This window comes from Homo sapiens, chromosome 4 (genome assembly GCF_000001405.40).
Source record: "Homo sapiens chromosome 4, GRCh38.p14 Primary Assembly".
In the NCBI taxonomy this organism is placed as follows: domain Eukaryota; kingdom Metazoa; phylum Chordata; class Mammalia; order Primates; family Hominidae; genus Homo; species Homo sapiens.
In genome coordinates this window covers 135,593,860-135,609,965 of record NC_000004.12, presented here as the reverse complement: position 1 = coordinate 135,609,965, position 16,106 = coordinate 135,593,860, and the positions used below count along the sequence as shown (strand labels likewise).

At 36.4% G+C, this 16,106-nt stretch overlaps 1 annotated feature.

Moving 5' to 3' along the window:
• Window positions 4,396–4,941: an enhancer, noted in NCBI's record as "OCT4-NANOG hESC enhancer chr4:136526180-136526725 (GRCh37/hg19 assembly coordinates)". NCBI's record gives its function as "activates a minimal SCP1, AML or CMV promoter by ChIP-STARR-seq in primed H9 embryonic stem cells {active_cell/tissue: H9 hESC(primed)}" and the evidence as "EXISTENCE:reporter gene assay evidence [ECO:0000049][PMID:30033119]".

Sequence of the window (16,106 nt, the reverse complement as noted above, 5' to 3'; positions counted from 1 at the left end):
TTACACAACAGTTATATTATCCAAGTGAATCCCTTAGTTTTTCTCAAAAATAGAAATTGTTCAAAGATGGGATTTATAATGATTTTTAACAATTGAGTCACCTTCAATACGATTTCAGTAGCTAGTTGAAATTGCCCATAACTAGAGACTAGGTGATGTCAAATATACCTTCTAAGGAAACACAATTAATCTGCACAATCTGACTCCAATATATTTGCTTATAAAGTCAATAAAATTATTTTTTAGTGCATACTCTCTAGCATGTACCCAAAGCATTTCCAAATATTATCTTATAAAATCCTGGAAAACAGCAGAGTATATTGATAATATTACTCCCATTGTATAAATTAAAGATGGAAGCTAAAGAGAGGTACACCTGTAAGCACAACATCAAACAGTGAGGTAATGACAAAGGAGGAATTCCTGTCTTTGCTTCTAACATATCCATTCTTCTCAAATAATCTATAAATTTTTAAATATTATCAAATTTTTATTTAAATGTGTCCCTTTGGACAAATGCATTATTGTGGCAATCTCAAAGAACTTTCAGTATAAGTAACTCTGTTTAGCGGTTTGGATGATATTTCCCACCAATGATCTTCTAAATCTGTACCATGAACTGCAGGCAAGCTTCAAAAATAATTTTCACCAACTCGGGCCATCATAAGTTCATACTGCTTTTGGATCACCTGTTCTTATGTGATAGAAGTGTCTTCTCATGGTATGAAAGAAGCATGGGTCCTTTCCAGGTCGAAGAAGAACTACATGTGTGTGGATCAGGTAAGATAAGCTCTAGGGCACTTGAAACTCATTTGTAAGTGTAAAAGGGGTCTTGGAAGTGGGATAACTTGCTTTCAGTATGGTATTATTCCTGGGTTAAAAGAACCAAAATGTTGTGGTTCATGTAAGGTGTATCTACTATTGTGGATAACCATCATAGAATCAACAATCCAGAAAATTTAAGAAGGTCCCAATATTATTTCTATTATATCACAGTTAATTTACATTAAATATACTTCATTAACTATGTTCTTTCATTACATTATAAAAAAATTGCAATTTTAATTATGCTTTTTTAGCTGTCCTCTCCAAAATAAAACATTAATTATGTTATGAAATGAAGTAAAGCTGTATTTCATGAAAAAAAAGATGTATATTTAGGAACAAGAGACATTGTTGTATTATTTTTTCTCAAATTTTAGAATTACATGCAGTGTGAAATCATTTCCTATTTAGTTAAAGCTTAATTTTCCATTATCTTTGCTAATGTAATAGAACATTAGGCTAAATTATTTTAAAAGTAAATAATGTACTAATACATAGATTTTTCTAAGAGCAACAAATATTATCAACACACTATTTATATAAAAGAGGTATGTTATTTATCAATGTCTTTAAAAATAACATAAATGTTCAAATATATAATTTAAAGAATAAACTTAGTGGACACATTTGATAGAATATTATATGTGTAATTAAAAAACATTATCAAACATTCCTTACCAAATACTTGCTCTATGCAAGTTATTGTGTTAACACTGTTTAAAAAATATTAGTTGTAATCCTTATTAGAACACTGAGATGCAGGTATTACTATGCTCATTTTATAGATGAAGAAACTGAAGACTCCATGAGACTTATCAACTTTTCAAAGTCACCCAGAAAATGAAAGATTTATATATGACTCCAAAACCTCTAAAACTGAGAAAATCCAGGGAGATGGAAATTATTTCAATTAAACATAAAGCAATAAAATATAAAGGGATATACTTTATACATGTGTATATATGTGTAGTTAGGAGAGCAGCCACTTAAATTGTGATTCAAAAACATCTTTTCTCTAATCCCTGTTTCATTTCCACGTTAATTATATCTAAATGTGATGGGTTTATGGATAATTTTCCTTATCCTTTTGTATGCCTTTAGAGTATTTTTTAAAACTTTGCACTGAGCATGTATTACTACTTGTAATCATCATAATAAGCATGCTTAAAATGTGAACAAATGCATAGTGATACAGGTGTGTCTATAATTCATCATAATTAGCAGACCTGGATAATTATTTATTTTATAATAATTTGTATAGCTTCTGAGTTGAAAAGAAAATTAAGTATAGCATTGTCTGCCTCAGTTAAGTGGAGGCTGATTAGAAAAACAAGACAACATATGAAACCAAATAGCTGGATTTCCGCGAGTTATATTTTCATTAACTTTAGATAGCAACTATAACACTGCCTAACTATGCCAGGCAATTTGATTGCAAATATGCCTAGGGGAAGAGACCTCAATGCCTGAAGCCTCAAAAAACACTGCTAAAAAACAAGCTGATAGCTCCAGCCTTACTTATAATGGCTTAGTAATATATCAATCTGTAAGAGATAGGAAGAGTTATATTTTAACTTAATTACAAATTTCATCACGAAAATATTTTCATAGTTTTTCTTCTTAATAAAATCTTAGGGTTTTCAAGAAATGCCACAACTTAATTATTATTTATTATTATTTTTATTTACTTAAGGTTAATTCCATATACAAGACAATGAAATGCAAAAGAAAAGATCTCCAGAATCCTCAGTGCAGTCTTTCAGCCAGCAGACAAGAAAGAACATCTGCCATTTTCAAAATATTATTGTTTCACATCAGTTTTAGCTCATGGTAGATATAAAATCAAGCATAATCACATGAAAATGTTATTGGTAAATATCTTGATTTTTGCCTTATTTTGGTAGATATGTTCTTCAGGACTGCCCATCACTTCTTTCTTTGGGGATCTGCCTTTGCCTTACTTTTCGTCCCAAACACAGTAGAAGCACCTGAGTAAAGCCAAAGCTATCATGCCACTTTTCCTTGGAATTTCAGTCTTCTGTGGAGAAAAAAAGGGACCCAAAAGGTATTAGACTTAGCAATCAAATGAAAGTTCTCTTCGACTTGAAATTCCCGAGAGCTACTTTGATTTATGTTTTCTTCCAAAGACTGCTTGTTTTCCTCTTCTGTTTATCCTGAGCTAAATATAGCATCATTTTATCTTATCAGGGTAATCAGAGAACATCATCATATTCCACCTTACACAAATAGTCAACTTCTGTGTAGGATTTTCTACTGGGACATATAAAAAATGGGGCTTAAATTTATCCTGTAATGTAAATTATATATGTAAGAAAATATTTTAAAAAGCACTACTCAAAATCATAGCAATTATATAGATTGTAACAATCATATTCCCATGTGATATAGCAGAAATTTGAATTGGAGACTGGTGGAAAGTCAATCAGAATGTAAGTCACAGGGAACTGTGCAGGAGAAAAGGCAGTGCTACACACTGCTATTTAAAAATCCATTAAATTGTATCTATTGTTAGGTTTTAATTATTGCTGGGCTAGTTAGTATTTCTATAAATTATTTATTTTAGGAAGATGCCAATTTCATAGTTAAATTTCTGAATGTAGTGAAATCCAAGACAAAATATTATAAAACAAGTCTTTGAAAACATTAATCTTTCAGCTATTCAGAAGCTCTCCCTCTGTTCTTAGTTTTGCTCTGATAAACTCCCTTTGACTATTGGCCTTTAAAAACTAAACGCACTGGAATACTGGGTATTTTAATATGAATCCCTTACAGTAATATATGGTGTTAATTACATTGTTAGTCTTCCACAGTAGTTCACACTAAAGAAAATGAATCTTTTATACGTATAAAAGGAGTCAAGATTTTACTACTCTTGTGTCATTTTCAACTAATTTGGCTTTCACTATGATAACAAAAGATTTTTAAATGAAAATTATTGCCATTTCCTTTACTCAGTGTATAATTTTAGCTTATAAAGAGATTTCTTCTGGATTATTCTACTTGATATAAATGGAAGAGCCACACTTAGACTAAGTTTAAAATAAGAAAAAAATCTGTACTGTTTAAGTTCGTGATTTATCTGTTTGATATTATGAAGTTTGTAAAACTAATGGTTGGACTTTTTCACAAATGACAAAAAGCTATTTTCACTTATCACTTTTAGTAAATGGTTGAAAAATTATATAGGCATATAATTATATAGGCATATAATTATATAGGCATATAATTATATAGGCATATAATTTTACCAGAAACATTGTAAACATACTAAAAGGCATTAATATATCATGAATTATATTAAATGGCAAACATTTAATTTTCTAAGCATATATCTATACAAAGATAACTTCTCAATTTGTTATTGTTGTCTACAGAATGATTTCTTATAAGATAAGCATTCCATGTAAGATTCAAATTTTTTATTTTCTGAATATTTGCTAATTTTGTTTTTCTTAAAAGTATTTTTGATAAAACATCTCAGTTAAAATGATAGATATTTTTAAATATTATAAAATTATTGATTAAATAAAATTATATTCATATTGTCAGAGGCATTTGAACCAGAGAGACTCCACCTTGAGTAGCAGCTGGATAAAATAAGGCTGAGAACTACTGAGCTGCATTCCCAGGAGGTTCAGTATTCTTAGTTACAGGATGAGATAGGAGGTTGACATAAGATACAGGTCACAAAGACCTTGCTCATAAAACAGACTGCAGTAAAGGAGTCAGCCAAAACCCACCAAAATGAAGATGGCAAAGAAAGAGACCTCTGGTCGTCCTCACTGCTCATTATATGCTAATTATAATTTATTTGCATGATAAAAGCCACAACTACCAGTGCCCCAACAGTTGACAAATGCCATAGCAACTTCAGGAAGTTACCCTATATGGTCTAAAAAAGGGAGGAACCATCTGTTGTGGGAATTGCCCACTCCTTTCCTGGAAAATTCATGAATAATCCACCCCTTGTTTAGCATACAATCAAGTAGTAACAATAAGTATCCTTAGTTGAGCAGCTCAAGCTCTCAACTACTCTCTCTATGGAGTAGCCATTCTTTTATTCCTTTAATTTTTTAATAAACTTGTTTTAACTTTACTCTATGGACTCGCCCTGAATTCTTTCTTGCACAATATCCAAGAACCCTCTCCTGAGGTCTGGATTGAGACTCTCCTTTACAGTAACAATCTTTTCAACTTTTTATAAAGTATTGAGGCAAACATTGTGTCAAAATAAGGTTATACATTTAAGGAAAATCAAGCACTAAAAAAAAATTCTTTGAAGGAAGATGATGTCAGAAAGCATATTTGTAGAGCTAGACTATGTCATTTTATTTGTTAAAAAAGTATCTACCACTATATGAAGTGACTACCTTGTCTGGAGTATATGCCCTGGGGTTCATTGTTGCATGCCAGGAAAATATAAGACACGGACACAGGCAAGGAATTTAGGAGCAGAGGTTTAATAGGTAGAATAGAAGAAAAAGAAACAGTTTTCTCTATGGGAAGGGGTCTCTGAGCAGTAAAAGGACCAGCTGGTGGCAAATGCACCAAATTTTATAGTCCAGTTTGAGGAGGTGGTGTCTGATTTCCTTAGGGCTCACAGATTGGTTCGATCAAGTATGCTGTTTAGGTAGCACATGGGGGAAGGCTGTTCACCCCACCCTCATTTTCTTATAAAAATGGGCTTTCTGGTTGATTGGCGCCATCTTTTCTGCTTTTTACAGTCCATGTGGCTGTCAGAGAAGGGAAGATGGAGTCACCATCTAGAACATGTCTAGTTCTTTGTTCCTGCCAGCATTCACCTGTGCAAGCTCTCAGCTTGCTTGTCTATGTCTGCAGCTTGACTTTACAGGCCATTCTTTGTTAGAAAATGACTTGGGGCTGCTTTTCGTTAAAAAGAAAAGCCTTATTGAGGACTCCCATGCCCTCACTATATGCCTAAATAATTTCTTCTTAACTCCTATACCATTCTCCCATCTGGAGTGGTAACACTTACTGCTGTTAGGGGGTGTCAGGCAATGACTCTTTCTGGATAATTCCTGCTGAAAATAGGTGCCATGTGGGGAACAGCAGCTAGCACTCCTCCTGGGGTTGAACTAAGGGTCCTCAGAAGAAATGCATGTTAATTACCGACCTTACGAGGAAAGGAATACCAGCAAGCCAGAAGAGGACTCTGGTTATAGAATTCCCCATTCGTGGTCTTTCTAAGATGGGATTGTCATGTGCATGCACTCCCCAATCTTCTCTTTTGGTTAAATCTCCATACGAGGACATGGAAATAACAGATTGCTTTGTTTGGCCTATTCAGTATGGTGCACATTCTAAAAAGGAACCTAGGTTAGGGATGTACCCAGATGATGCAGCCATGCCAGTGAAATGTAAAAATAATAGGCCAGGCACAGTGGCTCACGCCTGTAATCCAAGCACTTTGGGAGGTCGAAGCAGGTGGATTACAATGTCAGGAGATTGAGACCATCCTGGCTAACATGGTGAAATCCTGTCTCTACTAAAAAATACAAAACATTAGCTGGATGTTGTGGCAGTCCCAGCTACTTGGGAGGCTGAGGCAGGAGAATGGCATGAACCCAGGAGGCAGAGCTTGCAGTGAGCCAAGATTGTGCCACTGCACTCCGGCCTGGGCGACACAGCAAGACACAGTCTCAAAAATAAATAAATAAATAAATAATAATAATAATAAATAAAAATAATAGGCGAGGAATCACTCCTACTACAATGCAGGTTCCTTTCAATGCCTAGGGAGGATTAAGTGTAGCCAGGAGCCACAAAGGAAATATAAACCTGTCCTTGAAGTGATGGTTCTAAGTTGTGACTTGTGAGGGACACAGGCAGATCTTTCTCATCTCTTAGAAGCTTTCTCCTCTTACATATAATAGAAGCATCTTTGGGACAGGGTTACCCATACTCAGGATAGTCATTCACAATGCCGTTTAGAATCTTACATGCTAAATGAGAAAGTTCCACCTGACAAATGGAGTTTCAAAAAATTGGGGATATAATATGCACTGTCCAATATCTCAGATGATCCTTGTGGCAAGGGATATTGGTCCAGATGTCTCCAAGTTTCTCACAGATTTGTAGGACACTACTATTAGCAAACATCATACAAGGGTCTGGAATTCCATGAGGTGGCTTGTTTGGAAAGGCCTGTGTGTTATTCTTTACATTATAGTCAAGGTGGTTACTTAGATCATGCCAGTCCCACTGGGACTTCCAACCAGAAGGAGAGCCTAGATTCTGAATGCCCCTCAATACGGGTGATCTCCAAAGATCACCCTTATTGTGCTTTCCTCACCAAATCTTTGAACTATCAGCAATTACGAGTGTCATGTTACATTATTTGAGATCTCCCAAATATGGTCCTTTCCCGCTGCTTTTAAAGCAGAGGAAGGCATCTGTTATTACCTGGTCAACTTTTCCAAGCCTGAGGGTGTGAAACTCACCTTTGGCGAGAGTGTTCTTTGGCACTGGAAACATGCGTTTCCTGAGAGGAGTTAGTTACCCAGTTGAAAGTGCTCCCATACCATGTCACATTTATGCCTGATAAGTCCTTAAGTGTTAAAGGTGAGACTAACAAAGGGAATCCTAAGACAGTAAGTTCTGAGTCATTTGAGAGGTTCCTTAGTGTGATCGAACTGAGCAAACCACTCAGGACAGACCCAGCAATTAGTTTTGTTGTACAAAAGGCCAATGCTGATATTGCAGGAGCTAAAAGATGTGATGTATCACCAAACCCAATAAAAAGTCCTAGCAGAGCTGATAGTAAAACTTTCAAGCCTCTTTTTTTTGGTAACTATTATCCCTGCTATAAAGATAATAATTAAGCAAAATACTACAGCAATGGAAACTTTCTTTCCAGTATTTCAGTTAGAAGGTGCTACTGCGTATAGCTCTACTGCAAATAGTAGAGTGAGTATAGCAATTTCTGCAAGGGTAATGTAGTAGATTAACTCCATCTGAAATTTTACTTGCAAGATGAGAATTTCCCTTTGGGGGTCTATAAAGTTCCTTTGTTTTATTTTCCCAAACGAAAAGAACCTCTGTGTTATGGGCACCCTACTCACTTTTATTACCTGGCAAAATTTGCAGAATAATTGATCTAGATATTTACATTACCCATCCCTTTTTGTTTCCTACAAGCTGCAGGAGATCACCACTTGATTCACAAAATAAGCAGTGTTAGTCTAAAATATAGACAAAAGACTTAAAAACAATGAGACTAGGATTTAATGACAAATGTGTGATCAAGTTTGGAGCATAATTTCTACGTCCAGTTCTCATTTTTGGCAAAAACAAATTATGACAGAACTGTGTTTTTCATAGAATAAACTTTAGTCTCATAATTGGTCTGATTATTTGTATAAAGTGCAGCAAAAATGTTTATTTCTACATAGTCCTTTTGGATTGGCTTTGATGAAAGTCTGTTCCTCAAAGAATCTCAGATAAGATATTTTAAAGCTGAGTCAAGCCATGGATTTGTATCCTCAAATACATATGAATTGGGTAATCCTATTCTCTTATGGTCCCAAGATAAACTTGGAGTTGCTGGACCTGTTAGAAAGCGACATTCTTTACTGACCACAGGTTAGGAACCCTGTGCAGGGATTGTGTAGAAAAGGTATGAGGCCAGTTATCTCCATGGGGCTTTTATCAGCTCTACAAGTCAAGATTGATTCCTTAAAGGGAAGCATACCCTTCCAGTCAAAGCTTTGATGAAATAACCAGTTTTTTCCAATTGTGTCCAGTTGAAAAAGAAAAATGGATTCCTCTTGCCCTGTTGCAAACAACTATGTTGCTATAAGTTAAGATTACTCACAGATAATTTCCAAATTTCAGAGGAACCAGGCAGAGAGAAACAAACATGCTCCAAATGTTGTCCACTGGAATATAACTCACTTAATTATTAGAGGCCTAAATAGCTCAAAATAAGTTTCCTTGACTCTGAAAAACAAAACAAGGATCAGAAATATTCCAAGAAAAAGTCAAAAAGGTTGCTTTAACTTTCTGAGTGCAGTCCATTTAGTTAACTACTATTTTGTTTGATATTCGTGAACATGTCAGTTCTTTATGAGTCCCATACATTCTTTCTCTATTCCCATGTTACAATCTTCAAAGCTATTTAAAATATAAAGTCCTACACCTTGATTTTAAACCATCTTTTGAGAAGGAACGAAGCAAGACAACAATTATCTGTGAACGACAAAATTTCCAGAGTACTTATAGTTAAAAATATGACTTACAAAGAAGTTTAGTTATCACCATGGTTTACAATAACTTTAACCTCAACTATGATTGATAGCATATACTCAGAAAAAAAGCTAAAAAAAAACTGGACATCATTTTGGCAATCTCATGTGACTAAACATGTCAAATAATCATTTTTACCTCTTCTCTGAATGTTTCAGGGGCCCTCTGAACCATCCAGAAAGCCAGGCATCAGGAAAGACAATTTTGAAACTTGAAGTTTGATTTTGGGATGCCTGTTAAATGTTAGAGGTTTAAAACACTTGATGTTATGAAATAGAATTCCAGATTGCCATAAATTATTTATTTTGCCAAAATTATGACTCAGAAGGCAAAAACCTTCTATTACCCTTTACTATTACGTGAAAATCCTGTTCAAAGCCAAATTTTACCCTTGCATTAGTTTATTATGTTTAACCACCTTTTGATAAAACCTCATAGAAAATTCCATCTAAGCTTAACAAATTTGACCATGAGGTAAAATATTTATAAACCTTTTATAAACCCTTTTGCAAAAGGGCAGATTAGCCTCTTAAGACAACCTTGCTGTGTTTTTATTTCAGTGCTCAATTTATGAAAAGACCATATAATACCCTTTTGAATTTAATGTTTACACATTTTTGCAAGATTAATTTTTACAATATTTCCACAATTTGCTTAAATCTTTAGTTTTATCATATCAAATTTAACATCATCCTTCATCACTGGGCAAAATTTACATTTCCATGCTTTCTTATAATCTTTTACTAGAAAACACATTTTACTGTTTTCATACACCTTGTATATAAGACTGTTTAGTGATCTCAAATAAATGTTGCACTGTTAACTCTTAGCAACTTTTACTTTTGGTGAAAAACCTTGTGAATAAGTGGTTTTAATTATTTATGAAGTGTGGAGCCTAGGACTCAGAAAGAAGTGAAGATAAGGTCTGACTCTTTTCAGCCTCTAGTTCCACAAGTCCCAGGCCTTACCTATCTGAAAAGCAGGCAGAATACAATCTGGGAACATTTAACAAACCTAGTATCTAAGTTGAATGATTTAGACCACCTATTTGCATTTTGATAGCTCTTGCATTTTACCAGTAATCCTGAAGAGTATCTTTATTTCTTAAAGACAAAAATCACATGAACTAAAAAGTATTTAAGTGCTTATTTTTCTTCAAGCCCATCAATTAGTGTTCTTTTTATAGACATTACACACAACACATATATAGTGACACAAACACAAGATTCAACACTTGTAAGATTTTTTATTTGCCGGTTTCTTAATTGGATTACTGGCATCAGGGTGGAAACTTTAGAGGAAGAGAGCCAGGTAGCATGCATTTCTAGGGCCTAATAAGCAGGCATAGCAGAAGGTAAAAACAGATCCCTAAAATTAAAGGTGCCATTTTATACCGAATTTTGGATCTCCAAAAAGCAGGAGCTACTATAGAAGAAGTCTGTGTAGTGCTTCTACCATGAATTTCACTGCAGGACAACCCAAAGCCAGTTGGCTTATTTTGTAATTAGCCCATCCTCCATGGGAGTCTTATCTCTCTGACGGGGGTGGGGACGTTTCCATATCTTTTGGGTGGCCAAGAGCATGCCTCTCTGATTTATAACTACTATTTGCCATCCCTTAAAGTGTATTTCCTACCTAGTTATTACACAACAAAGCTCTCTCCTAATGTGAAGTAATTGGATACCCCAAAAACTCAAAACAGATAACAAAATGCAAAACAGAACCAAGCCTTTGATTTTGAGAGAGAAGTATCTGCCTTTAATTCCTTGGGTTTTAGGAGGAAAACAGAGGGTTTTTTCCCCAAAATGGAGTCTGTTGCACCTCCTTTGTTTTTCCCAAAGAGTCCCATCATACCAGAAGTTATCTTAGGGCCTCTCATTAAGAGTATTAAGAGTGGCAAGTCAAAAAAATTGAGAAAAATAATTCAATCAACCAAGAAGAAGAAAACTTATTCCAGAAAAACAAGATCCAAGAAGAGAAAAACATAGAGGCCTTTAAATATACCTATAACTTGAATATCCATTTTTAATTAACCTAAATACTCTTTAAGAAAATTTCTTTAAGTCCCTTGTTAAATGACTTTAGCCATGCCAAGCAGTTAAGATTTTCAGCTTTGAATTTTACAAAAAGTAACCTCACAAGTGAAATGCACAAGCCAAAATTAGGTCATGACTAAACCACGAGTGTGCAAGGTATTTTCAAAGGGGCAATAGGCAGCTTGAGAAAGACTGCAAAATTGTGACTGAGATAGTGAAAGGGATACGACCCAATCAACTCCATTTTGTTTCCAGCCCCTAAGCTGTCCTTGCCCTTCCCTGGGCATAGGCAAAACCAACTTTGGGAGAAGACTGATCTACAGTTTATTGTCTAAAACAAATATGATAATAGCTCTTCTTAAGAATATTTTCCTCTTGCCTGGGAACCAGACCAAGAATCTAGCCACAAGTTTAGAAAAAGAAACCATGGCCTAGGAATCACACAGCTGGAGGCTCCAAGATTTTGACCCTCTGTTTACTGCTCTCAAGATCAGTGCTTAAGATATTTTGTATACCCTACCCTTGATGGATTAGCTGGCCTGACACAGATTGATAAACTGGCTTATCTAATTTGGTGGCCCTCACCCAGGAACTGACTCAGAACAAGAAAACAGCCAGCACTGTAAAATGGCAAAGACTAAAACGAAGTATTGGGTCATGTTCCCAAGGACATGAAACAGGATGGAGGCTTATAGCCACGTTTATTACTGACCATTCTGCTGGGCTGGCTTGAACAGTAGGCTTATGGAGTCCTGGGTCTCCATCCTAACCTAAGGTATCCTTTCTTTTGACAGAACCATACAGAAAGACACACAAAGTATACCAGATTGGCTATAGCTTAAGACCAACCTCACAAATCCTTTTTCACTAATTAAAACTGTACAGAGAATATAAACAACAATCCTTATTATCCCTTTTGCCGGTTTGCATGGGGAGAGAGAAACCAAAAGCTCGACTGGTTAAAAAAAAAAAAAAAACAAACTTTTACCTTCTTGCCAGCATGTCAGGCTACTAGGTTCCCTTCACCTGAGATTAACTCTAAGCCAAACATTTTAAGGTTTGGTGAAATTAACTCTTTCCATGTTGAAAGAACATTATAAAAAAGCCAGTTGAAACTGTAAAAGAAGGAAAAACACCATAGAAAAGCCTGCGGGTTCCAATTAAGGTTTTCAAGAGGTACTGCCATTTTTCCTATTGAGTATGGTGTTTCCCCTATTTCTTTGCCTTTCCTATTTTCTCTTTTCTTTTAGGCCTACTATAGGAGACATATTGCGCATCTCTGAATTTTTCTGCTGCTTACAGAGCCACCTGCTTCTCAGCTGTGGTTAGGATTTTGGTTTAGGAACAGCATAACATCCCTCCATGAGAGGTCAAATACCTGAGTTAAATTTTGGAAAGCTTCTTTATAAATATCAAGGTCATTAGAACGTCAGCCTAAGTCTCTTTTTACTTGCTTATGGTCCTGTAATGATAAGGGAACTTGAAGGGCCCCCATATATGGCGATCCTCAGATGGTACCTCTGGAAGTTGCTTCTCTAACTTTGGGGAATTATTCTCTTTAGGCTGCCTGATAGGACTGTGAAAAAAGCTGAGTTGATGTTGCAATGTTTGCAAAGGTCTGGTAAAAAGGTCATGAACTTGTGTAAAAGAAAATGAGACACTTTTTCTTTAAAGTCTCAGGGTGAAAGGAGTCCCAGTGCTTCAGAATGAACTCCAGGGGAGTGCAGGCTGAAGATAGCACCCATCTAGAAAGAGAAGTGAGAAAAAGGTGTTCCTATAGTCTCCTTCCTTTTGGTATGACCCAGGGTGGAGTGGAAGACAATGGAGGTGTCCCCTCTGCTGTTTTCTCTCCATGGTTCCTGGGTCCCAGTACCTTGCTGAACCTGCCACTGATGGTTGCAGGCATGAACCCCAGCCATGCAACCAGAGGAACTAGGTTAGTCATGCTTGCCCAAGTAGCTCTAGTTCTCTGCCTGTGATTTCCCTTTGAATTCCTAGACTTGTTTGACCCCCTGACTGCTTGAAAAATGGATCTCAAGAAAAACTATGTAATAGTTGAGCAAGGCCCCTTTAATGGAGGTGGTGTGCAGATTGAAGCCTATGTCCTGATATTATGGCCCATGTTGAAGGGTTTACCCTTAAAGCATGGTTCTGATTAACTTCTGAAGTTAAAAATCCCCTTACCAATTAAGTACCACTCTAATTGGAGGCAGAATATGTGCCTCAAAAGAATGTAGGGACCAAATGGCCATTTTCCTGCTGATGGGACAGTATTGAGACTTTACCCCTAATTGTTGAAGTCAGAATTTTCCCGTTTACAGAAGCAGCTTGAAGCCTGGTTTCCAGTAGAGAGGCACAAAAAGGGGAGAGATTTGGAGGCTAGGGTGTTTCAGTGAAGGACCAACAATGTGCCTCATGGACAGGATCCCTATTCCAGTAGGTAGACCAGTACTCTAGACCAAGGGCAGAGTGACATTCACATGCCATGTGCTCCAGAACAAGGACAGAGAGAGACCTAGAAACATTGAGTGCTCTCCAGACCAAGGACAGAGAAAGACCTGGAAATGCCATGTGCTCTCCAGACCAAGAGCTGAGAGAAAAAGAGATGCTCACTGTGTGTGTTGGGTGGGGGAGAACCCTCTGTTTCTAGAATTAAAAAAAGATATCTTCCCTTGAGTTATATCCCCAGTTACTACGACATTCCCTGATCTTACCAAACAAGATTATTTCCCTGAACTGTAGAAGTTCCTGAACACTGCATACACAGAGAAAGTAAGGAATATTATGGTCATGAGCAGGAAAGAAGGAAATTACAATAGGAAATTGTATTGCCTGTTGCCGACACCCCATCAAGGCAGTTAGAGGCTGGGGTCAGTCCAGAGGCCTTTGGATAACCCTTGGGGGTATCCCGGGCCAGAAATCCTCAGTTGCCTCAGGACTTCTTCCAGTCCCATTCAATGGCTAAGTCCTCTGTGAAAAGAAGCTTGTTAAAGCATGGCCAATATGCCCAGCAACCCGTGGTTACCAGGGGATTCTCCATGTTCTCCTCAGCAAGCCTTTCCCTCAAGTCTTGTAAGGCTGGCAGCCATGCTAATTGTTTTTAAATGGCTGAAGCGGGGGCCAGTAATTGGTTTAATTCAGTTCTAAAATGGAGGCCAAAAGCTTCAAAATGAAAAAGACAGAGTTGGCGTCCACTTCTCTACTCACTGTTTTAATGAATGTTATACCTTGGTATCCCGGACAAGTTCCCCATTATGAAGTGGCTATATTGTCTGGGGTATATACCCTAGTGTTCATTGTTGCTTGCCAGGAAAACTAAGGAAACATACACACATGAGGAGTTTAGCAACAGAGTTTTAATAGGTAGAAGAGAAGAGAAAGATAAACAGCTTCCTCTATATAGGAAGGGGTCTCCAAGTGGAAAAAAGATCAGGTGGTGGCAAATTTTCCAAATTTTATAGTCTAGTTTGGGGAGGCAGTATCTGATTTCCATACGGCTCACAGTTCCTTTGATAAGGCCTGATGTTTACATAGCATGTAGGGAAAGCTGTCTGCCCCACCCTAATCTTCTTATGCAAATGGGTTTTGTAGTTGATCAGTGCTATCTTGTCTGCTTTTGATAGTACACATGGCTGGCAGGGAAAGGAAGATGGAGCCACCATCTTAACATGTCTGATTTTTAGTATCTGTGAGCATTCACCCGTAAAAGCTCCCAGCTTGCTTGTCTATGTCTGCAGCTCAACTTTACAGGCTGCTCTTTGTTAGAAAACGATTTTGGGCTGCTTTTCATTAAAAGGAAAAGCCTTACTGAGGACTCCTATGCCCTTACTATCTTCCTAAATAATTTCTTCTTAACTTCTATATCATATACACCCATTAAAAGTGCCAAAAGCCAGAACACTGACAACACCAAATGCTGGCAAATATATGGAGTAACACAAACCCTCATCCATTTCCTGTGGGAGTGTGAAATGGCATAGCCATTTTGGAAGACAGTTTGTCAGTTTCTTACAAATCTAAATATACTCTTAACCATATGATCCACCATTCACACTTCCTGGTAATTTATCCAAAGGAATTGAAACTTATGTCCACAAGAAAACCTGCACATAGATTTTTATAGTAGATTTATTTATAAAAGCTAAAACTTGGAAGTAACTAAGATGTCTGTCAGTAGATGAATGAATAAATAAACTATGATGCATCCAGACAGTGGAATATTATTCAGCACTTCAAAGAAATGAGCTGTCAAGCGATGAAAAGACATGGAGGAACATTGGATGCATATTACTAAGTGAAAGAAGCCAGTTTGAAAAGGCTACATACTATATGATTCCAACTAAATGACACTGTGGAAAACACAAAACTGTGAAGACAGTAAAAGGATGAGTGGTTGTCAGGGGCTTGGGGGAGGGACTGATGAATAGATGCAGCACAGAAAAATTTTAGGGCAGTGATAATACTGTGTATGATAGTTAAATGGTGAATTTATGTCACTATGCATTTGTCCAAACTTATAAAATATACAACACCAAAAGTGAACCCTAATGTAAATTATGGTCTTTGGGTGATGATGTGTCAACAGGAGTTTGATTGTACTAAATGTCTCATCCTGGTGGGAGATGTTCATAATGAGAAACACTATTCATGTGTTGGGGCAGGTGGCATATGAGAACTCTGTGTACTTTAGACTCAATTTTGCTGTGAATCTAAAATTGTACTAAAAAAACATGTTTAAAAGTAGCTGTAAATAATTTTTGTGTTTCTGGACTGAATAACATATGGAAGATAATTCAGGATTATATAAGAAAATAAATACTAATGGAATTGATGAAGAAAATATTAATATCTAATGTTTTATCACAGCCCAGGTCTTTGTATCACCGAACATACCATTTAACAAAAATTACCCAGATATATAAAAAGAAAGTTAAACTTTCATTAATGACATATTATCAG